Raw genomic sequence first — 26,357 nt, 5'->3', positions numbered from 1 at the left:
TAGTTGGGCGTGGTGGCGCGTCCCTGTAATCCCAGCTACTTGGGAGGTTGAGGCAGGAGAATCGCTTGAACCCGGAGGCGGAGGTTACAGTGAGCCAAGATCAAGGCACAGCACTCCAACCTGGGCGACACAGCGAGACTCCGTCTCAAAAAAAAAAAAAAAAAAAAAAAGTGAGGCGCAAATGGGAGGTGAAGCAGTGAGGTTCGCAAGTGTAGACACGCTCAAGGGACTCATTAAATGTCATTTCATTTAAAAAATGAAATTGAGCATATGTGCAAGCAAGGTTCACACACCCCATTTAATCTTCACACCACCACGGGGTAGTCACTATTATCCCCATTTTACAGGATTAAAACACTGACGCTGGGAGGTTGACAGAGTTACACCAAATCACACAGAGGAGCTGGGCTTCCCCCGACCTCCTCCGCTCAAGTCTCCCTGTCCCCGGGAGGTGCGGAAGGAGGCAACAGACGCTTGGCCCATAGGTGGAGCAATTGGCGAAGGCTTCGCCCGACGCCGGAACTGCGAGCTCTCAGCGGGAGCCGAGACGGTGCAGGGCCGGAGAAGCACCTTCACTCCCAGCCTGCGCCCCGATGCTGCGCGTTCTGTGCCTCCTGCGCCCCTGGAGGCCCCTTCGGGCCCGCGGCTGCGCTTCCGACGGGGCGGCCGGGGGCTCAGAGATCCAAGTGCGCGCCCTGGCGGGTCCGGACCAAGGTAAATGTGCAGTTCCGGGGCGGCGCATGACGCGACTGGGACTAGGCCGGAGGCAGCGGGGGACCGGCAGGTGGGCCGCTCAGTGCGTTGAAGGATTCGATCCCCAGTCCCTCCCTCCCAGTTCTAGGCGCCCCAAACCGCTCCAGGCCTGAGAGGTGGGCGGCCGCCTTAGTGGCTCCAGACTCTAGCTGGGGGCGGGGGGCCTCTGGCAACCTCGGTCTCTTCAAAGGCCCTTTGGGGTCTTCCGACTGTGTGGAAGGGGGAGCGGGGTCCGCACGGGTAGGACTGGGCCCCGCGGCCCCCAGGCCAGGAGCGTTTAAGTGCGCGTTCCCCTCCCCCGCCAAGGGTCCTGGCCCGGTTCGGGGGCGGAGGCAGCGGAGCCAGTCCCAGTGCCCAGTGCGGCAGCGGGCAGAGTGAGGAGGGTGCCTCTCCAGCCGCGCGCCCGCCCTGGGCCGCTAGCGAACCTTTGCGTCCTTCTGGCTCCAGGGAAAAGTTCGCTGTTTCTCCGCCTTTTGGCCAAGATCAAGGATAGTATGGAGCGGGGACGAGGGGTGGGGGGCAAAGTTCGCGGGTCACTGGCAGAAAACGCCTCTGATCGCGTGTTGCGTTTTTGTTGTTGTTGTTGTTTGAACTTCTGGAGCATTCAGTGGTGCTGATAACGCTCCTCAGTCCTCTGCTGGTAACCATCAGGGCTAGGCGCTTCTCCTGCCTTGGGTCTCCTCCCCGCATCTCATCCCCTGTCTCCTGCATTTGATACACAGATGGCATTGTACTGTACATTTCGTTGTATTGCTTCTTTTTTTTTTTTAACAAAAGTTTATTCTTAAATGTACAACAGCTCCAAGACAACACTTAATTCCAGCCATAGGTGGCAAAAGATGTTATGGCAGGGAATAGAGAGGTTTAAATACTGATGAAATAAAGGGTCACCATCTCCTTAGGCACAGGGAACAGCTTACTTTTTGCCAGATTTCTTAATTCCACTTGTGGCCAAGGGCCCCTTCCCCGTGGCCTTCCATTTTAGCTCCTCGAGTTTCTTCTGCTCCTCTTTTTGTTTCTGCTTGAAAGCCTTATCTTCCTCGTCCATCTCCTTGGCCTGCATTCTTGGGCTGTTTCAGTGGCTTCTTGCCACCTTCGTGGCCGGACATGGCGCCTGCCGCCCCTTCCCCAGCAGTATTGCTTCCTTTTTACCGGCTTGACAACAAGTTTGAAGCGGGGCTTTGCCATAAAATCCAGTTCCTTGCTCCCTGCTGTTGCCCACTGTTCCCAAGTGTGCATCTACCACCTTCAGTGGACACGGACAGGCCACCTAGAGTCCCACTGCACCACTTGGTGAGAATTTCCTTGAACAGTTAATATTGCTGAACCTTATACCCCCAATCTCATGCTTAGTTCACTACCCAACTGGCAACAGCTCTTAAGACAGTCAAGATTATTCTCCCCACTTTACAGATTAAAAAACTGAGGCACAGAAGGTTAAGTTATTTGAACCAGGTCTGATTTCAAAGCCTGTGTTCTCAACCATTAGGTAATCACTGGCTCTTCTAGTAATTCAGTGACTCAAAATACAGACTTGTACATGTGTAAACACAAAATTATCATGGGTTAAAGACCTTTAGGCTCACTTGCAAATATCGGGAATCATTTTATCCAAAAAAGAATGACAAGGATCAGCAGATTAAGCCTCTGCCCCTGCCAGAGGGCTCAAAGGGCAGGAAAAGGCAGTGAGAGAAGGAGAGACAGAAACCAAGATGACAGTGCAGAGGAGGCATGGGGATGAGATCACACACGGAGCCCTCACAGGGAATGAGTTGGGGTCATTTGATGTTCATATTAGAAGCTGCAGGTTCTGCCTTCCACTGGGGCTGATGGCACAAGAGCACTGTTACATTTTACCTGCTGCCTTTGAGCTTGAGGTTGGGTGGTAAACCATTCTTCACTGTTCTTAGCGGCTTTATTTCTCATAGAGTCATGTGTTGCTTAACAACGGGGCTACATTCTGAGAAATGCATCATTAGGTGATTGTGGTCATTGTGGGAGCATCACAGAGTGCACCTACACAGTCCTAGATGGGGTAGCCTACTGCACACCAAGGCTACATGGTGTATAGCCTGTTGCTCCTAGAATACAAACCTGGACAGCATGGTACCGGGCTGAATACTGTAGGCAACTGTAACACAATGGTAAATGTGTATCTGAACATAGAAAAGGCACAGTAAAAATACAGTCTAAAAGATTTTTTAAATAGTACACCTGTACTGGGCAGTTACCATAAATGGAGCTTGCAGGACTGGAAGCTGCACTGGGTGAGTCAGCGAGTGAATGGTGAGTGAATGTGAAGGCCTAGGACAGCAGGGACTGGTTTGGCACCAGGGACTATTTTCATGAAAGACAGTTTTTCCATGGACTTGCGGGCGGACAGATGGTTTGGGGATGAAACTGTTCCACCTCAGATCATCAGGCATTAGATTCTCATAAGGAGCTCGCAACAACCTAGATTCCTCACATGCACAGTTCACAATAGGGTTCGCACTCCTATGAGATTCTAATGCCACCACTGATCTGATAGGAGGTGGAACTCAGGTGGTAATTCAAGCCATGGGGAGCTGCTGTAAATACAGATGAAGCTGCTCATCTCCTGTTGTGTGGCCCAGTTCCTAGCAGGCCACAGACTGGGATGGGTCCACAGCCCGGGGGTTGGGGACCCCTGGCCTAGGACATTACTGTACACTACTATAGACTCTATAACACTGTACACCTAGGCTACACTAAATTTGCTTTACAAATGTTTCTTTCTTCAATGATAAATTAACCTTAGCTTACTCTGTTTTTACTTTATAAACTTTTTAATTTTTTCAACTTTTGACTCTTTTGTAGTAACACTCAGCTTAAAACACAAACACATTGTACGGCTGTACAAAAAATGTTTTCTTCTTTAGATCCTTATTTTATAAGCTTTTAAAAATTTTAATTCTTAAACTTTTTTTGTTAAAAACAAAGACACAAGCACACACACGAGCCTAGACCTATCACTGTCTTCCACCTCCACATCTTGTCCCACTGGAAGGTCTTCAGGGGCGATAACGTGCATGGAGCTGCCATCTCCTATGATAACAATCGGGAATACCTACTGAAGGACCTGCCTGAGGCTGTGTTACACTGAACTTTTTTCTTTTCTTTTTTTTTTTTTTTTTAATAAGTAGGAGTACACACGGCCCAGGCCAGGTACAGTGGCTCACCTGGCTCACTCTTGTAATCCCAGCACGTTGAGAGGGTGAGGCAGGCAGATTGCTTGAGCCCAGGAGTTTGAGACCAGCCTGGGAAACATAGTGAAACCCCTTCTCTACAAAAAAATACAAAAATTATCCAGGCATGGTTGTGCATACCTGTAGCCCCTGCTACTCAGGAGGCTGAGGTGGGAGGATGGCTTGAGCCGGGGAGGTCAAGGCTGTCCAATATCAAGGATTCCTGATATTTGCAAGTGAGCCCAAAGGTGTTTAACCCATGAGTGAGCCATGATCGTGTTACTGTACTCCAGCCTGGGCAACAGAGTAAGACCCTGTCTCAAAAAAATTAAAAATAAAAAGTAGGAGTATATTCTAAAATAATGGTAAAAATAATATTGTAAATATATAAACCTAAAACATAGTCTTTTATTATCATTATCAAGTATTATGTTGTGGGCCTAATTGTATGTGCTGTGCTTTTGTATAACTGGTAAAGCAAGCTAGTTTACACCAGCCTCACCACCAGCATTTGAGTGTTGCATTGCGCTATGATGTTATGACAGCTATGGTGTCACTAGGCAATAGGAATTTTTCAGCTCCATTAGAGTCTGATGGGACTTATATGTCTTATATGTGGTCTGTAGCTGACCAACTAAAACATCATCATGCTGTGCATGACTGTAATTAATGGCTGTCCTTCAACTCCTTAGCTGGGCACTAAGGTTCTCCACCACAAGCTGACCTTTCCATCCTCCCTCCTCTACCCATGGGCTCATTTGAAGGTGTGTTACCTCTGTGTTTTGCTCTAGCTGTGCCCTGACTTGGCTCCTCTTCCTTCCTTTCTGCTTATGGAAATCTTTTTGGAACTCCCCTGCTCTGCTGCTCCGTCCCCCACACTGTCCTTTTATGTTTCGTGTGTCTGAACTTGTCTCTCTTCTAGGCTGTTAGCTCTTTAAGAGTCAGGATTGCCAGCTGGGTCCAGCTGTTATTTGAGCAAATCCTCCTTGTTTCCGGGCGTCAGTTTCCTCTTCTGTATAGTAAAGTGTTGTTAAATCAGTTGTTCTCCACACTACCCTTCAGTGGTTTCTTTTTTTTTTTTTTTCTTTGAGATGGTCTCACTCTGTTGCCCAGGCCGGAGTGCAGTGGCGTGATCTCGGCCCACTGCAGCCTCTGCCTCTTGGTTTCAAGCGATTCTTTGCCCCAGCCTCCCAAGTAGCTGGGATTATAGGTGTGTGCCACCACGCCTGGCTAATTTTTGTCTTTTTAGTAAAGACGGGGTTTCACCATGTTGGTCAGGCTGGTGTTGAACTCCTGACTCAGGTGATCCACCCGCCTCGGCCTCCCAAAGTGCTGGGATTACAGGCGTGAGCCACCACGCCTGGCCCTTCTAGTGGTTTCTGTTGACTTCTACCCACAACACCTCGCCTGTGACCCAAGCCATCTGGACAGAAGTGATCCTAGGTCAGCTGCTCAGTGGTATGGTAGGTTTGGTAAGAGTGGGAAGGGTGCAGCACAGCCCCATCCCCGCTGTTGGGGTCAGAAGGGCAATGTTCCCAGCATCGGGGCTAGACTAAGAACACAGGGACCTTGGCTGATTACTGTCCATTTCTCCAGGACCTGGCATGTGGTAGTGCAAATTAAATGTTGCACAATTGAATGTCGGCAGCCAAAGACACCCTGCCTGGCTCCTGGGGGGCTCCCAGCTTAAAGTTCAGATACTGTATTAGGTCCGAGACTTGCCCTAGTATCTGGGCGTTTTACACAAACTCTGGTTAGACACTTAAATGCATTATCTCTTTTAATCCTAACAATAACCTTTTTATTATTTCTCTTACAGATCAGGAAATTGAAGGCCAGAAGGGTAAAGTGGTTTGCCCAAGGCCATGGGGCTGGTGTGTGGCTGAGTTGTGGCTTGAGCTAAGGGCTTGTAAGAGTTGACAGTCAGTATTCCGAGAGGGAGATGTAGGTGGAGACAGGAGATGAAGCTGAAAGATGAGAGACAGTCAGCCAGAGAGAATGGAAGGAAAGAACAGGAAAGCAGAGAGAGGAGTGTCTGCCAGTCCCAGGATACCACGGCTATATCAGCTTTCTATTACTACCTAACAAATGATCACAAACTTTGATACTCAAAGTCACACACATTTATCATTTTTTAGTTTCTGTACGTCAGAAGTCAAGGCACAACTTAGCAGAGTTCTCTGCTTCAGGTCTTGCCAGGCTGGGCTGCAGTCGGGAGTTGGCCAGGGCTGTGGTCTCATCCCAGGCTTGACGGGAAAGATCTGCTTCCAAGGTCGTCAGGTTGCTGAGACCTGAATTCACCTCCTATGGTTGTTGGACTGAAGTCCTGTTCTCTTGCTGATTGTTGGCCGGGGGTCACTCTCAGCAATTAGAGGTTGCCCGCAGTCCTTTGCTACTTGACCCTCTCGTTAGGCCCATGAGTGTCTCTAATAAGACAGAGCCTTTTATATACTATAACCGAATTACAGAAGTCACATTACCTTCACCATATAACTTAACCTAATCTCAGGAGTAACATTGTATAACCTTTGCTGTATACTATTGCTTAGAAGCAATTCACAGGTCCCACCCACATGCAAGGGAGGGGATTATTCAGGATGTAAACATGAGGGCCACTCTGGGGACCTTGGATCTAGACTGCTCTGAAGTTTGTGGGGGTCAGGGTCCTTGACTCCTCCTGATCTGGCATCTCTCTATCCACTGCAGTCTCCCTTCTCCAGAGTTGCCCCATTTTCTCTCCTGGAGCACTGGAGCTGGAAGCGACCTTATGGCCATCTGCACACCTCTCTGGAGCCTCCAGACCTGCTGGGCTCTAAGAGCTCTTTGCAGGTTTCTGGGGAGGCTAAGGAAGTCCAGTTTGCCTGAATGTTACAGTTCTTTGCCCCTAGCCATAGTTCTGTAATTCCTGGCTGAACACCCTGTCCCTTGAGAGCCCAGAAACTTTCATTGGCCTTTCTGTGTCTCTGATCAGCTTAAACTGAGAATGCCAACTTCATAAACACTGCTTGTTTACAGACAAAGCTGAGGACCCTGGGAGATAATAATAAGGGGTCTTTGAAGGCCAAAGGATTGGGAAACACTCCTCTGGGCACCTGCTGGATTTCAGCCCTGGGAAGACCTGAAATGTCCATCCTGATTTTTCGTAGGAGGAGAAACAGCCTAGAAGGGATGATAAGGGTGTGAGCTCCTTCCCAGAGCCCATCTCTCTTCCCCACACCCTGACTAGATGGCGGGGGTGAATTGGGGCCAGAGTGGGTGCAAGAGTCAGATTGGGGGGGCCTTATGGTCGGTATTAAGGAGTTGAACTTTATTTTGAGGAAAAGAAGGGGGAAGGGGAGGGACGTGGTCGGATTGGGGTAAGAAAGATGACTGTGACCCAAATGTGGGAACGAATGTGTGTGTGCTGGGAGGGAGCAAGACTGAGGACTCGAGGGCCAGGTGGGTGATCCGAGGGATGCAGGAAAGAGCCTATGCCAGATTAATGGCTGTGAGAAGCGGTGTGAGCTGAGAGGCCTGAGATCTCTTTAAGAGGTTGGATTAGCAGGCCTTAGTGACTGAGTGCATTTTGTAGGTGAGGTAAGAGCGAGGTGACAGGATCAACTTCTGAGTTGATAGCAAGGTCATTGGCTCATCAATGGAGCAGGACATACCAGTTGAGATATCAAGTAGGCATTTGGCTATTCAGGCCTGGGGTGCACAGGAGAGCTCTGGGCTCCTGGGCACACACGGGAGCCCTGGGTGTACAGGAGGCAGGCGTGTGTTAGCTGTGGAAGGGAGGTCCCTCCTGCCTCAGCTTATCCTGCTCTCCCTCTGCCTGAACTCCTCCAGTTCTGGAAGGCACCCTGCAGTCCCACACCTGGGCCCTCTTCTCTGCCACTCCCTCTGCCTGCAACAGGCTTCTCTCCTGGACTGCCCCCTTCCCTGCACCTTGCCAACATGCATGCACACACACAGGCACTCATGCACACGCTCACATATGCACCCATGCATGCACACTTACATGCACACATGCACTCTTACATCTTTTGCCTGGCCAATTCCTACTCTCCTGTCAGCTCTCAGCTTAAAGGCCACTGCCTCCTCTGATAACTCATTGCTGACCTTCTATACTAGGGCTCCCCTCTGCCCACTGGAGGCCCCTTACTTGTTTGTCCTTTTTCTCCAAGTTCTCCTCACAAATAGTAATTATTTAATGTCTGTCTTCCCCACTAGGCTGTAGGTTCCATGAGGACAGGCCTTGAGTCTGTCCTGGTCTCTGGAATCACGGTGTCTAGTAGAGGCCAGCACACAGCAAATATATAAATGTACAAATGAGTGAATGAAGAGAATCTGATTGGCCTTAAGGAACTTACGCACTTAAAATAATTGGGCAGAAGAGAAGCAGTGAAGGAGTGCAGAGGCATCACCTGAAAGGTAGGAGGAAGGAGAATGGGGGCCTGCCAAAGCCAAGGCAGATACGTGTCATTATGCATCTGTGTAAACCCACAGAGTGTACACCACCAAGAGCGAACCCCAGTGTACACTAGGGCCCCCGGGTGGCGACAGTGCATCAGTGTAGGTTCGTCAGTTGCAACACGTGCCTCTGGTGGGGGATGGGGATTGCGGAAGGGGCTGTGCCTGTGTAGGGCCAGGGAGTATAGGTGAACTGTATTGAATTGTATTTTCCACTCCATTTTGCTGTGACCCTAAAACTGCTCTAAGAAAATCATCTATTTATAAACAAATAAATATTCTTCTAAGAAGCCAAAGCAGAAAACGATCAAGTGGAGTGTGTTAATGTCAGCAAAGGTTTTTGCTGCCACGAGGTTGAGGCAAGGAGAGAAACGTGTCCCTTGGTTAGTGATGTGGCTATATTCATCACTTTAATGAGAATAATGTCTGCTGAGTGATGGGGCTGGAACCTAGATTGGAGAAGGTTTGAGCGAATGGAAGGTAAGAAAGTGACTAAATGAGTATAGAAAACTACCAAGAAGCTTGGCTGTTGCTGGTGAAAGAATATTACACAAGTAGGGCCAGGATTACTGTCTTGCCAAACAGGACAGAACACTAAGCCTCTGTATTTAGTTGCTAATTTATTGTGACAGAGGAGCATATTGATCTGTCCCCGTGATTGTGCAGTTAGCAAAACCCAGGCTTTGAGAAACCCTGTAGGTCAAATACCCCAGGCTCCTCCACAGATAATCTCTGAGGGAAAGACAGAGTTGTGGGGAGCATGTGGGGGTTGTACCAGGATTTAAAAGATACACGGCAATTTTAGAAATTAGCAAGTCTAAACTATGATACCTAAGGATGCACACCTGGGTGATAAAATTATAAAGAAATGGCCGGGTGTGGTGGCTCACACCTGTAATCCCAGCACTTTTAGAGGCCGAGGTGGGTGGATCACCTGAGGTCAGGAGTTCGAGACAAGCCTGACCAACATGGAGAAACCTCATCTCTACTAAAAATACAAAATTAGCCGGGCGTGGTGGCACATGCTGTAATCCCAGCTACTCCGGAGGCTGAGGCAGGAGAATCGCTTGAACCTGGGAGGCGGAGGTTGTGGTGAGCCAAGGTAACAAGAGTGAAACTCTGTCTCAAAAAAAAAAATTATAAAGAAATACACAGAGGTGATTACTATAAGTCAAAGAGTTACTTGTTCAGGGGGAAGGAGGGAGCTACGATTGAGTCAGGGCATGTGGTGGGGTTTCTGAGGTGGCCGGCACAGTTCTATTTCTTGATTTGGGTGGTGGTTATAAGGGTATTTGCCTTATCATAACTCCTCAAACTCTAGAGGAAGAAGTCTGCTGTGAAGAAAAGATTAAGGCCGCGGTGGCTCAAACCTGTAATCCCAGCACTTTGGGAGGCCGAGGCGGGCAGATTGCTCGAGCTCAGGAGTTTGAGACCAGGCTGGGCAAGATGGCAAAACCTCGTTCCTACAAAAAGCACAAAAATTAGCCAGGTGTAATGGCGCATGCTTATAGTCCCAGCTATTTTGGGGGTTGAGGGAGGAGAATTGCTTGAGCCCAGGAGGTTGAGGCTACAGTGAGCCATGTTTACACCACTGTACACCAGCCTGGGTGACAGAGTTGAGACCCTGTCTAAAAAAAAAAAAAAAACAGCAAAACTCTCCCCCGCCAAAAATAAAAAAAAAAAAGATGAATATGGAGGGAGTTGTAAAATTAAAGAAGGTACATGGGTGCATGTGTGCTTGTGTGTGTGTGTGTCTGTCTGTCTAACAACAGCAGAAGCAGGCAAGGGCTACTGTGGTAGTCACTGTTGTTCCTCTCCCCATTTTGCTTCACAGTTTACAAGTCCTTCCACTTTCTCTCTGAGGCAGAAAGAGCAAGGGTTTTTCTCTCCATTTTATGGTTGGGAAAATTGAGGCCTGCCTGAGTGTGTGACTTGTGGCAAGTCACTCTGGTCATCTAGGGCAGAGGCTCCCCAGATCCCAGGCCTCCTGCCTCCAGTCCCCAGCCCGCAGCCCAGGATTAGGCAGAGCCAGCTGCTTTCCCGTGGCTGCCCTGACTCCTTACAGGGATCACTGAGATTCTGATGAACAGACCTTCTGCCCGCAATGCCTTGGGGAATGTCTTCGTCAGTGAGGTAAGAAAGGGCGGGCGCCAGGGTGGGCTGGGGATGGGCTGGCACTATCTAACTGGGTGTCCTCTGTAGCTGCTGGAAACTCTGGCCCAGCTGCGGGAGGACCGGCAAGTGCGTGTCCTGCTCTTCAGAAGTGGAGTGAAGGGCGTGTTCTGTGCAGGTAGGTTCTCTCTCCTGCCCCCATCTGTGCTCTGCAGGGTGCCCACCAGCCTCCAGGGGTTGGGGGAAACCTTAGATCAGCTTCAGCATGGGACTCATTGTTGCCATTTTACCGATGTGAATGCAGAGACTCAGGGAGGAAAATTCCCTTGCCTAGGATCACATAGCTAGTAAGGGGTAGGATAGACTTTAGTTTGAACTTGGCCTCTCTAACCCTTAGATCTTAGTTATTTCGGCTATGCCATGCTTTGTTCTGACCCTTCACGGGGGAAATAAGAAAATGGAGTCCAAGACGGGTACAGTGGCTCACATCTGTAATTCCAGCACTTTGGGAGGCTGGGGCGGGTAGATCACTTGAGGCCCGAGTTCGAGACCAGCCTGGCCAACATGGTGAAACCCCTTCTCTACTAAAAAATACAAAAATTAGCTGGGTATGGTGGCAGGCACCTGTAGTCCCAGCTACTCAGGAGGCTGAGGCAGGAGAATTGCTTGAACCCGGGAGGCGGAGGTTGCAGTGAGCTGAGATTGCAGCTCTAGAATTCCTGGGCTAGTTCCTGCCCCTCTCGGAGCTTCAGTTTCCGCATCTCTCACAGAAGGGCTGGAACTGATCAAAGATTTCCAAAGGCTCTCCCAGCTCTGACTTCCTGTAGTCTAGGACTGGAAGAGTCTATTTACTCTCTACTCCTGCTCACCCCTGCATCTGGCCTTTGAGGACCCCACCACGGTCACTCTTCCCGCCAAGGCGCTTGCCCACCTGCATGCCACCGTATCTTGTGCTCACTTCCGTTCTCGTTTACTTGACCTTTGACCTCTCAGCCTTCTTGGACCTTGCTGACTCTGCCTGTAAAAATTAGTCAAGTTTTAATTTTCTTATTACTTACATATTTTAGAAATTGTGGGCTGGGTGCAGTGGCTCACGCCTGTAATCCCAGCACTTTGGGAGGCCGAGGTGTGTGGATCACCTGAGGTCAGGAGTTCGAGACCATCCTGACCAATATGGTGAAACCGCGTCTCTACTAAAAATACAAAAATTAGCCAGGCATTGTGGCCAGTGCCTGTAATCCCAGCTACTCAGGAGGCTGAGACAGGAGAATTGCTTGAACCCGGGAGGTGGAGGTTACAGTGAGCTGAGATCACGCCACTGCACTCCAGCCTGGGTGACAGAGCACAACTCCATCTCAAAAAAAAAAAAAAAAAAAAAAAAAAAAAAAAAACGAAATTGTGGTGAAATATAAGTAACACAAAATTTACCGTTTTAACCATTTTTAAGTGTACAATTCAGAGTGGCATTAAGTACATTCACAATATTGTGCAATGTCACCGCTATCCATTCCCAGAACTTCTTTATCATACCAAACAAACTCAGCCTGTTCAGACAGTGACTCCCATTCCCCCTTCCCCTCCAGCCTGGGTAACCTCTATGGTACTTTGTCTCTATGTATTTATCTATTCTAAATACCTCATACCAGTAGAATCATATCATATTTGTTTTTTGGTGCCTGGCTTATTTTACTTAACATGTCCTCAAGGTTCCTCCAAGTTGTGGCAAGTGTCAGAACTCCATTCCTTTTTATGGAGTAACATTCTATTGTAATGAGTAGCATTCTATTGTATATATACCACATTTTGTTTACCCAATCATCTGTTGATAGATACTTGGGTTGTTTTCACTTTTGGCCACTGTGAAGAATGTCCCCAAATACATTGGTGTACAAGTACCGTCAGCCCTCTGCATCTGCAGGTTCCGCACCCACAGACTCAACCAACCGCAGATTGAAAATGTTAACAACAAAAATAACAATGCAACAACAAAAAATAATATAGATAAAAACAACACAGTACAACAGTTTACATAGTATTTACATTGTATTAGGTATTGTAAGTAATCTAGAGACAATTTAGAGCAAGCTTGTCCATTGTCCAACCCTCGGCCTCTGGGCCGCATGTGGCCCAGGATGGCTTTGAATGTGGCCCAACACAAATTTGTAAACTTTCTTAAGACATTATAAGATTTTTTTGTGTGGTGTTTTTTTTTTTTTTTTTAAGCTCATCAGTTACCGTTGGTGTTAGTGTATTTTATGTGTAGCCCAAGACGATTCTTCCAGTGTGGCCCAGGAAAGCCAAAAGATTGGAACCCCTGGCTTAGAGTATACAGGAGGATATATGAGCATAGGTCATATTGCAAATACTACAATATTTTATACAAGGGGCTTGAGCATCCATGGATTTTTGTATCTGAGGGGTCCTGGAACCAGTCCCCTACGGATAAGGAGGGACTGTATCTGTTTGAGTCCTTGCTTTCAACTCTTTTGGGTATATACTTGGGACTAGAATTGTATGGTAATTCTGTTTAACTTTTTGGAACTGGTTTCCACAGCAGCTGCATGGGTTTACACTCCCACCAGCAATGCACCAGGGTTCCATGTCTCCACATCCATGCCAACTTTTTGTTTTGTTTGTTTTAAAAGCCATTCTAATAGACGTGAGGTAGTATCTCATTGTGGTTTTTGATTTGCATTTGTCTAATGACGATGAGATTGAGCAACTTTTCAAGTGCTTATTGACCATCTGTGTATCTCCTCAGGAGAAATGTCTATTCAAGTCCTTTTTCCTTTTTTTTTTTTTTTTTTTTTTTTTGAGACTCTGTCACCCAGGATGGAGCGCAGTGGCACAATCTTGGCTCACTGTAACCTCTGCCTCCTGGGCTCACGCGATTCTCCTGCCTCAGCCTCAACCTCCCTAGTAGCTGGGATTACAGGTGCCCACCAACACACCTGGCTAATTCTTGTATTTTTAGTAGAGACACTGTTTCACCACGTTGGCCAGGCTGGTCTTGAACTCGTGACCTCAGGTGATGTGCCCACCTCGGCCTCCCAAAGTGCTGGGATTACAGGTGTGAGCCACTGCGCCTGGCCCTTTGCCCATTTCTGAATTGGGTTGTTTTGTTGTTTAGTTGGAGAAGTTCTTTATATATCCTAGATATTAAACCTTTATCAGATATATGATTTACACATATTTTCTTCCATTCTGTGTGTTGTCTTTTCTTTTTTTTCTTTTTTCTTCTTTGAAACGGAGTCTTGCTCGTCACCGAGGCTGGAGTGCAGTTGGTGCGATCTCAGCTCACTGCAGCCTTCACCTCCTGGGTTCAGGTGATTCTCCTGCCTCCGCCACCTGAGTAGCTGGGATTATAGGTGTCCGCCACCACACCTGGCTGATTTTTGTATTTTTAGTGGAGACAGGGTTTCACCATGTTGGTCTTGAACTACTGACCTCAGGTGATGCACCTGCCTCGGCCTCCCAAAATGCTGAGATTGCAAGCGTGAGCCACTGCACCCAGCCATTTCTGTGGGTTGTCTTTGTATTCTATTGATAGTGTCCTCTGATGCACAGAAGGTTTCCATTTTGATGGAGTCCAGTTCACCTTTCTGCAGTGTCACACCCTCCTTGTTTGATGCTCCTCTTTTCCCTTGACTTCCTTGCCCGGGTTCCTGGTGTTTCTCCTTCCTCGCTGGCTGCCTGTCCTCAGGTCTTCTTTGCTGGATCCTTTAACCGCCTGGGATTCCGTAAAGTGCCATTTTCCTAAGGGCTGGTACCAACCCTCGCCATCTGCAGGTGCAGACCTGAAGGAGCGGGAACAGATGAGTGAAGCAGAGGTGGGGGTGTTTGTCCAGCGACTCCGGGGCCTGATGAATGACATCGGTGAGGATCTGGGTGTGGGGTGGAGGAGGGGGTTTGGGGGTCCCTGCCGATGACAGTCCCGCTACCCCCACCAGCATCTAAGGAGAGTCTTCTTTCTGTTTGGAGTTCTGTGATAAGACAGATGACTCACCCAGGGGGATGGAGGAGGATGACCGAGGGCAGTTCTCTCAGAGAGGGAGTTCTGGCTCTTCAGCTTTTGTGTCCCGCCCCACCCTCAGGGTTCAAGCCTGGCCATTCCAAAGCAGTTAAGTTTCCCCAAGCATGCTTTCAAGTTTTGACAATTGCTGTTACCTTTGCCTGAGATACCCCTTCTTGGTTACTTGAACTTTTACTTGTCCTTCAAGCCCTCCAGTACCTCCTCCTCCAGGAAGCCTTCCCAACCCACCCTCTGAGCTTTTTATTGGAGCACTGATGATCCTGGGTCAATAATGCCTGATACACATTTGTCTTCCCCATGAGACTGAGCCCCATGGGAACAAAGGCTATGTCTGATTCATTCTGTGTTCCCAGTTCCCAGCACCCAGCACAGGGCTTGGCACAAAGAAAGGGAGGCCCCAGGGAGGCCAGCGGATTAGGCCTGAACAGGGATCATCCAGCCCATCCTCCCATTCCTCTTCCCTGGCTGATTCTGTAACTTTCCCTAAAGGGAAAATTGGCTTCTGAGATAACCTGGCTGCGGGAAGCAGAGGTTGTCGTGAGCAGAGATTGTGCCATTGCACTCCAGCCTGGGCAACAACAGCGAGACTCCATCTCAAAAAAAAAAAAAAAGAAAAAAGGAAAAAAAAGAGGCCGGGCGCAGTGGCTCATTCCTGTAATCCCAGCAGTTTGGGAGGCTGAGGCGGGCGGATCACGAGGTCAGGAGTTCAAGACCAGTCTGGCCAACATGGTGAAACCCCCGTCTCTACTTAAAAAAAAAAAAAAAAAAATACAAAAAAATTAGCTGGGCGTGGTGGCGCACATCTGTAATCCCAGCTACTCAGGAGGTTGAGGCAAGAGAATCACTTGAACCTGGGAGGCAGAGGTTGCAGTGAGCCAAGATCATGCCACTGCACTCCAGCCTGGGTGACAGAACAAGACTCCGTCTCAAAAAAAAAAAAAAAAAAGAATTAAGATAACCTGGCTGAGGTTCCATGTAATGTCCCCAGACCTGGGTCCACTGAGGCCTCTGTCCCAACCAGCTTGCCCCTCCCCAGCCTTGAGTCTCTGTCCTGGTCCCACCAGGGCTTTGCAGGCTGAGCCTTTCTTCCTCTCCACAGCAGCCTTCCCTGCACCCACCATTGCGGCTATGGATGGGTTTGCCTTGGGCGGAGGCCTAGAGCTTGCCCTGGCCTGTGACCTCCGAGTGGCAGGTACTGGGCCAGGACTGGGGGCAGGGGGTGGGGCTAGGGAGTCAGGGGTGAGTGAAACAGGGTGAGTCTGGACATTCTGCAGTCAGCCACTGTTCTTGGCTTCCAACCAAAAGCAAAACTAAGGCAAGGCAGAGCACAGAGGGTGCTCAGGCAGAAGCTGCTTCCCCTCCTGGTGCAGCCATTAGCTGCTGTAGTATCTGTGACCTGTCAGAACCTGCTTCCTTCATTTTGGGAATATTTGACCAACCTCAGAGCAATTGCTGTTACGAGCCAAGGAGGTCAAAGAGCAATGTCCAGTCTTCCCATTCTGTCCAAGTCAGATTTATCGACCATGTTTCGGAAAAAGGTGAGCCTCAGGGATAGTTTGTCAATGGCTGAGCTAATCACAAAGGTGCCTGGGCAGGAATACTGGCACCAGCCAAATTTGCATTACTTGTTCTGAGCAATTGAGCTTTGTTTGAAGAATGGGAGGGGATAAAGAAGATAACTGATCATTTTCTCAGGTGACTGACCTGGTGATTAGGAGCAGCCTTCTTGGATGCAGTTAGGCAAAGTCTGAATGTCTTCCCTTCTCCCCCCACCGCTCTCTCCTGCCACCCCAGGAGCAACATATAAAAATGTGTAGCTCCAGGCATGAAAGTAGCTTCTGTCTACACAATGCAGGTCAAAGAGAAGGAACTGACCAGGTGTCCAGGCACCAAAATACCAGGCTGGTCTAGCCCCAACTCTCCTTCTCACATGCCCACGTTCACGCAACTAACTCACAGGGTTTTGGGGAAGACTAAGACGGAGTGAATGTAAAACCCACTCCCTTCTGCCCACGTTCACATGGTCCATGCTGAGGGAATTCAGAAAAGGAGACAGACCCGGGGGGGTGCGTCAGTCAAGGCAAGTTTCTCGAAGGAAGGAAGCAGAACTCAGGAGGACATGGACTGGAACAGTCAGGGCAATTTCAGGCTGTGACAAAGCTGGAACGGACGACTGTAGCAGGAGCAGGAGTCACTGACATTCTAGGCCAGGCCAGGGCTAAGCCAGAGAACCTATTAATAGTAATCCACAAATAGATATGGGGCACCTCCTAGGAACTCTCCTTGTTCCAAGCGTCGTACCTCGTGTGATCCTTAGCGGCTCTCTGAAGCAGACAGAAGAGGGCCAGCCATCTTTCTTCCACCTTTGAGGCTTGGGAAGGGTGAGACTTGCTGGTGACTTACAACTCCATCAAAGGGGCATGGTGAAATAAGGGCCTGGGCTCCTGACTTCTGGGCTAGGGCTCTTCCAAAGGCAGAGTCTGGAGAGGCCTGGCTGTGGCCAGACCATGGGGCAAGTGGCTAGAGGGGCGAGTAGACAGCAGAGGCAGCTGTGGCCCCCGGGATTAGCACTGGGGGACCGGATGGGGGAGGGAGGCCTCACTTTGTTCTATCTGAGCAGCTTCCTCGGCAGTCATGGGACTGATTGAGACCACGCGAGGGCTCCTCCCGGGGGCAGGTAATCGCAACTACAGCACCCGCCCAATTCCACCCCATCCAGGGTCCTTCGCTGCTTTCCTTTTTTGCCCTCTGTTCTGGGCTCTGCCCTCCCACCTGAACCCTGCTCCTCTGAGAAGTCTTGGCTGAGTCCCAGGCTGAGCCTTCTCTGGGTTCCCACTTCCCATGCTGATTCCCACCCTGCTCCCTCCATCCTGGTAGGAGGGACTCAGAGGCTGCCCCGTTGTCTGGGGGTGGCCCTGGCGAAGGAGCTCATCTTCACGGGCCGACGACTGAGTGGAACTGAGGCCCACGTACTGGGGCTGGTGAATCACGCTGTGGCCCAGAACGAGGAGGGGGACGCCGCCTACCAGCGGGCACGAGCACTGGCCCAGGAGATCCTGCCCCAGGTGTGGTGACAGCTCGGCACCAGAAGGAGGGCTGGAGTCATGGGGGAGGCATGTGTGGGGCAGGGTGTCCCCTTGGGCTGCACATCCATTCTCCCAGAGACATATGATTAACCCTCTTTGGAGTTTGTTTAACCATCCAGTAAACACAATCAAGTCAAATTTTAATTCTGAATTAAAATGTAAATTGAATTCCAAAGGGCTGGAACCAAATGGGCTTGAAAGCCCTCTGAATGTAACACTGTCCAGTAGACCATTCTGAGATGAGATAAATGTTCTATACTTGTGCTTATCCAGTATGGGAGCCACTAGCCAAATGATTTAAATTGCAGAAAATGAATGCAGTTCCTCATTCACACTAGCCACATTTCAAATGCTAATAGCCACATGTGGCTTGTGGCTACTATACTATATAGCACAGCCTTAAAATCCCCCAAAGACTGAAAAAGCAAGATTCTAAAATAGATACAGAACTTCCAACCCATATTTCCTACCATACTGCCTGGTGGGATATTCTTGAAATACAACATGTGGGCTGGGCAGGGTGGCTCATGCCTGTAATCCCAGCACTTTGGGAGGCTGAGGCGGGTGTATCACGAGGTTAGGAGTTCAAGACCACCCTGGCCAATATGGTGAAACCCCGTCTCTACTAAAAATACAAAAATTAGCTGGGTGTGGAGGCACGCACCTGTAATCCCAGCTACTCAGGAGGCTGAGGCAGGAGAATCGCTTGAACCTGGGAGGCGGAGGTTGCAGTGAGCCAAGATCGCGCCATTGCACTCCACTGGGCGACAGGACGAGACTTCATCTCAAAAAAAAAAAAAAAAGAAAGAAAGAAAGAAATACAACATACAGGACATGTATTAAGCATTTTTTTCTTTGAAGAGATAGGGTCTCGCTGTGTCATCCAGGCTGGAGTGCAGTGGTGCAATCATGGCTCACTGCAGTTTTAAACTCCTGGGCTCAAGTGATCCTCCCGCCTCAGCCTCCCAAAGTGTTAGAATTACAAGCATGAACCACCGTGACGGGCCAGGCTCATGTTTTAGCCAGATGTGGTAGTTCGAGCCTGTAATCCCAGTTATTTGGGAAAAAGCATTGCTTGAACCCATGAATTCAAAGCTGCAGTAAGCTGGTCACGCCACTGCACTTCCAGCCTGGGCAACAAAGCAAAATCCCGTTGCTAAAAACAAACAAACAAAAACAAAAAGCCAAAAAAAACAACCAAAAAACCCCTCATTAAAAAAATCCTCAAATAGCATGGGAAAGGGTGAGGGATAAAAGACTACACGTTGGGTACGGTGCACCAAAATCTTAGAAATCACCACTAAAGAACGTATCCATGTAACCAAAAGCCACCTGTTCCCTAAAATCTATTGAAAGAAAAAAATTAAAAATCCTCAAACAATAACCTCTCAGCATGGTACCCCAAAGGGTACCATGCTCAGTAGGGAGCAGGTCAGGCCCTGCCCAGGTACAACCCTACCAGCTGCAGGGCCCAAAGCCCTCAGCAGGGATATCTGGGATCTGGCTGTCTGGGGTATCCAAGGCCCTGCGAGGGTCTGCTGGCTTCTCCCAACTCTCAGGGGGCCCAGGATACAGGGGGTTGGGTACAGGAGATCCCAAATTTCCATAAAGATTAAAAGTGGCTTAAATGGAGCTAAGTTAGACTAATTTATAATAAATTTGTCTTAGCCTATAATGCTAGGTACCTTAATGTAGTATCTCAGCTCTTAGAATAATCCAGTTGAACTGATTATCCCCATTTTATCTGTGAGAAAACCCATAAAAGTTCAGTGACTTGTTCATCAAGGTCACAAAGAGTGATTGTAGTATTAGAAAAAAAAACAACACCGGTATTTTGGCATTTATTTTGCACAATACAGAATGCAATATAAAAAAGGTATTTTAAGAGAGCAAAATATGTACAAAATTTTAAAAACAAACTAAATATTTAATGTATTTCAAATACAAAAATTTACAAATGTCACAAAACAAAGTTAACCATACATCATTTTAATATTGACATATATTGAATTAATCATATAAAAGTAACCATTTTGGCTTAGCATGGTGGCTCACGCCTGTAATCCCAGCACTTTGGGAGGCTGAGGTGGGAAGACTGCTTGAGACCAGGGGTTCTAGACCAGGCTGGGCAACATAGTGAGACCTCATTTGTATTAAAACAGAAAAGAAGCCGGGTGCAGTGGCTCATTGCTGTAATCCCAGCACTTTGGGAGGTCAAGACAGGAGGATCACTTGATGCCAGGAGTTTGAGACCAGCCTGGCCAACATGGCAAAACCCTGTCTTTACTAAAATTACAAAATTTAGCTGGGCATGGTGGCTCATGCCTTTTATTACAGCTACTCAGGAGGCTGAGGCACGAGAATCACTTGAGTCTGGGAGGTGGAGGTTGCAGTGAGCCGAGATCGCACCACTGCACTCCAGCCCAAGTGACAGAGCAAGATTCTGTTAATAAAATAAAATAGTATAATTTTGAACAAAAATCCTTTCTTTCCTGTCTCTCAAATGTAAATAATCCTAATACTTCTTAAAACAGATCTTCTTTAATTTGGAGGTGAGGGACTATAGCTTTTTGAAAGCATTTGTCTTTTTTTTTTTTAAGCTTCATCATATATAAATGAAGAGTCTGATGCTATTGCCTAGACAATATTAATGCTGTCAAGTTTCTATTATACTTGGTTAGAAAGTCTCCGAACTAATACAGAACTCTGGGTCACTCAATGGAGTGGCTGATTGCAGCTTTCATATCTAGACCTGTAGACTATAGGGTTTGTCTTTTTGCCTTAACTAAATAACAATCACAAAATAATTCAGATTTCCAAATATACTAAAATATTGGTACTATATAATTACTGATATTTTCAGTACTTAAAAGTAGCTTTGTATACCAAAACACCAGTCTACCAAAAACAAGTACTGGCATGAGTAATCCCAGAGTTGAGACCTTCTGGGTCAACCTGAAAAACAAAACTTCAACTTCCACCTATGTTACTGGGTGCTCAGAATAAAGGTTTCCGGATAGGAGAGGGCCAGGGATGGTGTAGATGGCCACCATCTAGTGGACAAACCACTCTGATAGGGTAGCAAATGGTTCCAGAGTTTTCTCAGCCCAGAAAAAAACTGTCAATATCCACAGTTTGCATCAGATTTCCTTCTTAAATAGTAAATACACATTACACTTTGAGAAATGGATTCAGCTGTGTTTTTTTTCTTTTCTTTTTAGAGACAGGATCTTGCTCTGTTGCCCAGGCTGGAGTGCAGTGGCACGATCATAGCTCACCACAGCCTTGAAGCCCTGGGCCTGAGCAGTCCTTCCACCTCAGCCTCTGAATAGCTGGGACTACAGGTGCAAGCTACTGACTTGGCTAGAATTTGGCTGTTTTCACTCACAAACATACGTACATACCGTTTTTAACTTTAATAAAAGGTTACTTTATTTATTTATTTATTTATTTATTTATTTATTTTTGAGACAGGGTCTGGCTCTTTTGCCCAGGCTGGAGTGCAGTGGCATGATCACAGCTCACTGGAGCATTGACCTCTCAGGCCCAAGTGATCCTTCCACCTAAGACTACTGAGTAGCTGAGACTACAGGTGCAAGTCACCACGCCCAGCTAATTTTTTATTTTTTGTAGAGATGGGATCTCATGATGATGCCCAGGCTGGTCTCAAACTCTTTGGGCAAGCAATCCTCCTGCCTCAGCCTCTCAAAGCCCTGTGATTACAGGCGTGAGCCACTGCACCTGGCCAAGATTACTTCCTTTATTGGGTAGTTACCTAAATAATAACACATATGGCAAGCAAATCTAAAAGAACAGAGGAGTAAGAAGGGCATAAGGTAAAAATCAAAGGCAAGATGACCAGCTAGTCCTGGTTTACCTGTGACTACCCCAGTTTTAAAAGTGGAAGTCCCATATCCCAGTAACCCTTCAGTCACAAGCAAACCCAAACAGCCCTTCATTTCCCAATCCCTCTCTCTCCCCAGATCATCACTATTGTTTCCATACTCTTCCAGAAATTTCCATTGCATATGGAAGGACGTGTATTATGCACATATGCTTACATATTTAAATAAATTCCTTTTAATGGCTTAGAGGACAAGAAATATCTTTCGAGGCTAATCTGTTTCTAACAAATTTTAAAAACAAAATTTAAATATGCATAGTAAGGAATTCAAACATGGAAGAATATAAAACAAAACCTTCATTTTATATAACAAAACATTTATAAACCTTCGTTTATAAAACAAAACAAAGGTTTGGTTTTGTTTTATAAAGGCACACCAGCATTTTGCCAGTTTTTGCCAAATTGCTCTCCTGTGGCATACTCTTTTACTTTTCTATCAATAATGTATGTAAATACTGGTTTCCCCAGTCTCGGCAGTAGTAGGCATATTGATATTTTAGTATTTGCTGGTCTGAGGTGAAAGGGCACAGTACCTCACTGTTTTGATTTGCCTTTCAAGCGTGTAGCAGCTGCTGGACATCCTTCACGTTCGTACTTCTTTTCCGGTGGACCTTTTACATACTCTTTTGTAAATGGTTTAAAAGTTACTTTATACTAACTTTTTTGTAAATCAAGGAAATTCATCTGTCATAAGCATTGCAATTCTTTTTCCCAGTTTTTTTTTTTTTTGAGACTTTTCCTGAGAAAGTTTTATAAACACTTCAAATAATATGATATAGGAAGTAATTCCTCCTTGCCTGGAAGTGGGGCTGAGACTGGAGTGCTAGGGCTGGTGTGGAACCAAGGCCAGTGACAAAGCAGACACTGTTGCTTCTATGTGGCTGTATTAAAATGCACCCGCCCCTCTGCACTGCCCCACAGACCAGGATTTCAACACAGCCCTGTCGACTTGAAAGCCCAAGTTCCTAACCCTGACTTTGTTTCACTCTGCTGGGGTAAAACCTTACCGCAGAGGCTGGCATTTGCTGAAATGAGGTCGAGGAAGTGGGAAAGGTGGTTGGGAGTCCAATCCAAGTCTCACCAATGATTGGATAAACACAGCCAAGTGCTTCACCTCCCTGCACTGCAATCTCACAGCTGTAAAATCACAGCTGGGTCATCAGTGATGACACCAGCCTAGAAGTGTGGGTAGCACCATTAGATGAGTCTGTGGGGGAGGAAAGCACTTTGTAAACTAGTTATGTTGTGCATGTTGGAAGGATGGGCTGAATAACAAGAAACCCAGGTGTTCAGGGATCAGAGTCTGGCTTCTTTCATGATAGAAAAAGAACCTCAGCTAACAGGTTATAGGACTAACGCTAAAGAAACTGTCAGCAGAATGGCTGGAACCAGACCCAGACATCTGCCTCCCTCCTTTAAAACAAAGCTGTGCACCTCAGACCTGCAACTATCAGCCTTGATGCCCTCCTCAACCAAGACTTTTTGCTTTTCCCTAGGCCCCCATTGCCGTGCGGCTGGGCAAAGTAGCCATTGACCGAGGAACGGAGGTGAGAGGGTTTTGGGTTGGGACTTGGGTCCACTAAAGTTGGTCGCGGCTGGGACACAGTGCTTTCAGAGCTCAGACAGCACAGCTGGGAAAAACTCAGGAAGTGGACTCTTCTAACAGACTTGAACTCTGACCTCGTGCTCTACGTCAGTTTACACATCTGCAAATTGGCCAGACAGTATTATTGTTTACATTCTATCCTCATCTTTCTCCCTTGGAGAGAGGATGAGATTGAGGTTAAGAAAGGGTAAATGATTTGCCCAAGGTCTCAGAGGAAGTGAGTAGAAAGAACCCGGGTCTGTGTGGCTGCCAGTCCATGCTGCAAGATTTGTGCTGGCAGTAATGTGGCCTCAGGGCAGGGCTTGGGGTGATGCCTTGGGTGTGGCTAATCCATCTGTCCACCTCAACTCTCCCATCTAGTTAATCCATCTGTCCACCTCAACTCTCCCATCTAGTCACTCATCACACACTGAATCCAGAACAAAGCTGGGAACTGGGATACAGATGGATGAGTTAAACATGGTCACTGCCCCCGGGAGGGGGCAGATACAGACACAAATCAAGGATAATGGTACCACGCTGACACCCCAGAAAGGTTAGAGCTTTGCGGTCCATTATGATATCCATGTGTGGCTTTTAAATTAAAAGTAAAATGTGGTCAGGCGCGGTGGCTCATGCCTGTAGTCCCAGCACTTTGGGAGGCTGAGGCGGGCGATCACGAGGTCAGGAGATCGAGACCATCCTGGCTAACACAGTGAAACCCCGTCTCTACTAAAAATACAAAAAATTAGCCAGGCGTGGTGGCAGGCACCTGTAGTCCCAGCTACTCAGGAGGCTGAGGCAGGCGAATCGCTTGAACCCAGGAGGCGGAGTTTGCAGTGAGCCGAGATCGCACCACTGCACTCCAGCCTGGGCGACAGAGCGAGACTCCGTCTCAAAATAAATAAATAAATAAATAAAATAAAATGTTCAGTTTCTCCTTCACGCTAATCACAGTTCACGTGCTTGACATTCACATGCGGCTAGTGGCTACCATACTGGGCAGTGCTCGGTTAAAGACTGTTTTCTACAGTTGGACTGTGGGAAGGATAAAAATTCCAGAGGAAAAGTATGGGCAAAGGCACAGAGGAGGATAAGCAAGCAGCTCGTCCAGATGAGAGTGAGGGAAGAAGAGAGAGTGCAAGTTCGAGGCACTAGGCTGTCTGGGTTCAAAGACCTGCTCTTCCACATACTGTTGTGAACTTTGACAAATTATTTCACCTTTCTATGCCTCAGGTTTCTCAGCTGTAGAATAGGGATACTAACCCTTGCTGTGAAAATTAAGTTCACACACACATGGTACTTCTCTTAGAATGAGGCTTTCAAGTGCCAGTCAGTGGGCCCTAGAGGCTGGAGCAATTGCCAGGGCCCAGGTCATAAAGGTTCAGAAATTAACGGGTGACAGGAAGCGTGGTGAGGCAGCCGGATGGGAAGGAGAACTCCTCTTCTCTGGCAAAATGTCTCAGTCTGTCTCGTTTCTCCCAGCAGTTTTGTCATAGTTACGAATGGTGTTTCTTCTCTAGGAGGGAAATTCCTTCTCATAGCTATCTCTGCTCATATAGATGTCTGTAGGCAATAGGGTGGGCTGGCTTCCAGTGTGGGTGAAGATGGACAAGGTCAGACCAATCCAGGGAGCACGTCTTTCTTGCAGGTGGACATTGCATCTGGGATGGCCATTGAAGGGATGTGCTATGCCCAGGTATGTAGCAACCAGCCCATGCCTGCTTGTTAACATAGGCTGGGCCAGGCTAGAGGGACTTTGTATGGTACATGACCAATTTTAGAAGGTTCTTCTCAACACAAACAGTCTGACCGCATCCATCGTCCCTCATAAGTCACCTGGAGTGGCTTGAGGAGAGCCATAGTGCTTCTCTCTGGGACTTTTCCCTCAACCATCTAATGTACTGGGGTTCATCCTGCCCACTTAATGCCGAGAATCACAGAACACAGGTCCTTAAGAGGAAGAACCACATCTTTTGCCTCTGTATCAGATGCCACTGTAAAGTTCAGGATGGAGTTGGGAGGTCAAGGGCTTGGTTGTAGCCTGCAGGCTGTGTTCAATGTAGGGGCTGTACACTTGGGACTGACCTATTAAATCTCTTACTCATGGGTGAGTAAAAAATGCTAATCTCCACGTTAACAGATATCCAAAATACTCCTAAGGGGTCCTGGGACTTGGAGAAACTAGTGTGAACCTGGATTCAAAGCCAGATTTCTTACTGCAAAGAATTTTTTTCTCTACTGAGCAGCCTCATGTCAGACCACTGCAGACGGCAGCTGAGTTCTCAGGAGGCATGAAAGCAGTGTGCAAGTGGAGGCTAATGCTGATGGGGCACAGAGAATACAAAGGCTGGCCTGTCTTCCCCAGGAGACAAAGCAGCCACGGAGGCTTATACCTTTGCATGCCTCAAGATCAGAGTCCAGAGACAATGGAAACACTTGGACCCTGGCCTTGTCTTGGGCTGGACAAGCTTAAGCAACTCTTTTTGGGCCTGTGGCCCTGCTCCCCCAAAACTAATATTTTGTACCTTGTTGCAGAATATTCCAACCCGGGACCGGCTAGAGGGCATGGCAGCCTTCAGGGAGAAGCGGACTCCCAAATTTGTTGGCAAATGACCCCCATTTTAACCTTCAGCATGGGAGATGCATGCCCTGAAGAGCAGGATCCAGAAGGAAGATTTGTGGCCAGATTGCCTTCATCATTTCACCTCTCCAGACTTCCATTTCTTCACAAGGATGATGATGGAAATAAAATGACTGGCGTGATGCCTGGAACCAAGGTGCTGATCCTACCACCTACTGCTACCTTCCTTAGCTTCACCCTGGCTAGAAATAATCACGAGGGTTGGGTTTGCTTTGGAAAATGCCTGTCTCTCTACTTGAATGATAAAGAATTAAATTAGATCTCTCTGAGTCTTGGTATCATTGGCTCTCAGCCCCTGACCTCTCTCAGTTATCAGGCACTCATTAGAGATGTCAGAAGATTTTAAGATACCCCTAGTTTCTTCCTGTGAACAACAGAGGTAATAAATAAACTCTGACATCGGTTGAACATGTGTCAGGGGTCAGACTGCAGATCCCAGTCTCTGCCAGTTACTTGCTGTATAACCGTGGACAAATTGTTTAAATGCTCTGGGCCTCAGCTTCCTCACCTACAAAACAAAACTTGTGAAGATTTAGCAAAATAAAAACACTTCATATTCAATAAATATGTTTTAATTGTTAA

General features: G+C 47.6%; 1 protein-coding gene and 1 pseudogene across 20 annotated transcripts, besides 7 other annotated features; one reads left to right on the top strand and one right to left on the bottom strand.

Moving 5' to 3' along the window:
* Positions 142–824: an enhancer, noted in NCBI's record as "H3K27ac-H3K4me1 hESC enhancer chr1:53387115-53387797 (GRCh37/hg19 assembly coordinates)". NCBI's record gives its function as "activates a minimal SCP1, AML or CMV promoter by ChIP-STARR-seq in naive H9 embryonic stem cells {active_cell/tissue: H9 hESC(naive)}" and the evidence as "EXISTENCE:reporter gene assay evidence [ECO:0000049][PMID:30033119]".
* LOC112268226 (translation machinery-associated protein 7-like) lies at positions 274–1,862 on the bottom strand (annotated as a pseudogene).
* On the top strand, positions 493–26,357 carry ECHDC2 (enoyl-CoA hydratase domain containing 2). Of its 20 annotated transcripts, none has more exons than XM_047424344.1 (11): positions 527–784; positions 8,172–8,372; positions 10,246–10,544; positions 10,614–10,701; positions 14,313–14,399; positions 15,656–15,748; positions 17,177–17,233; positions 17,434–17,621; positions 23,043–23,093; positions 24,783–24,830; positions 25,670–26,357. In XM_047424344.1, the coding sequence occupies exons 3-11, from the start codon at positions 10,494–10,496 to the stop codon at positions 25,745–25,747; spliced, it is 741 nt and encodes a 246-aa protein (XP_047280300.1). In that variant the 5' UTR covers positions 527–784; positions 8,172–8,372; positions 10,246–10,493; the 3' UTR covers positions 25,748–26,357. The 20 variants fall into 20 exon arrangements, 19 of the variants coding, with proteins under 19 accessions (NP_001185891.1, XP_047280300.1, XP_047280291.1 ...); XM_047424335.1 differs by having other exon boundaries at positions 8,172–9,513; NM_001198961.2 differs by lacking the exon at positions 8,172–8,372 and having other exon boundaries at positions 527–714; positions 10,477–10,544.
* Positions 551–780: a silencer, noted in NCBI's record as "silent region_900". NCBI's record gives its function as "represses an Ori minimal core promoter by ATAC-STARR-seq in GM12878 lymphoblastoid cells {active_cell/tissue: GM12878}" and the evidence as "EXISTENCE:reporter gene assay evidence [ECO:0000049][PMID:35858748]".
* Positions 629–807: a silencer, noted in NCBI's record as "fragment chr1:53387132-53387310 (GRCh37/hg19 assembly coordinates)". NCBI's record gives its function as "represses an EF-1alpha promoter that drives an FKBP-Casp9 reporter gene in an ReSE screen in phorbol 12-myristate 13-acetate-treated (for megakaryocytic differentiation) K562 erythroleukemia cells {active_cell/tissue: K562(+PMA)}" and the evidence as "EXISTENCE:reporter gene assay evidence [ECO:0000049][PMID:32094911]".
* Positions 10,058–10,558: an enhancer, noted in NCBI's record as "H3K4me1 hESC enhancer chr1:53377381-53377881 (GRCh37/hg19 assembly coordinates)". NCBI's record gives its function as "activates a minimal SCP1, AML or CMV promoter by ChIP-STARR-seq in primed H9 embryonic stem cells {active_cell/tissue: H9 hESC(primed)}" and the evidence as "EXISTENCE:reporter gene assay evidence [ECO:0000049][PMID:30033119]".
* Positions 11,916–12,210: a silencer, noted in NCBI's record as "tiled region #4702; K562 Repressive DNase matched - State 5:Enh". NCBI's record gives its function as "represses a minimal TATA promoter and a strong SV40 promoter by Sharpr-MPRA in K562 cells {active_cell/tissue: K562}" and the evidence as "EXISTENCE:reporter gene assay evidence [ECO:0000049][PMID:27701403]".
* Positions 15,221–15,720: an enhancer, noted in NCBI's record as "H3K4me1 hESC enhancer chr1:53372219-53372718 (GRCh37/hg19 assembly coordinates)". NCBI's record gives its function as "activates a minimal SCP1, AML or CMV promoter by ChIP-STARR-seq in naive H9 embryonic stem cells {active_cell/tissue: H9 hESC(naive)}" and the evidence as "EXISTENCE:reporter gene assay evidence [ECO:0000049][PMID:30033119]".
* Positions 16,407–17,198: an enhancer, noted in NCBI's record as "H3K27ac-H3K4me1 hESC enhancer chr1:53370741-53371532 (GRCh37/hg19 assembly coordinates)". NCBI's record gives its function as "activates a minimal SCP1, AML or CMV promoter by ChIP-STARR-seq in naive H9 embryonic stem cells {active_cell/tissue: H9 hESC(naive)}" and the evidence as "EXISTENCE:reporter gene assay evidence [ECO:0000049][PMID:30033119]".

The sequence above is a fragment of the Homo sapiens genome, chromosome 1 (assembly GCF_000001405.40).
Source record: "Homo sapiens chromosome 1, GRCh38.p14 Primary Assembly".
Taxonomy (NCBI): Eukaryota; Metazoa; Chordata; class Mammalia; order Primates; family Hominidae; genus Homo; species Homo sapiens.
Note: the sequence above shows the minus strand (reverse complement) of the source record. Positions and strands in the feature narration are given on the sequence as shown.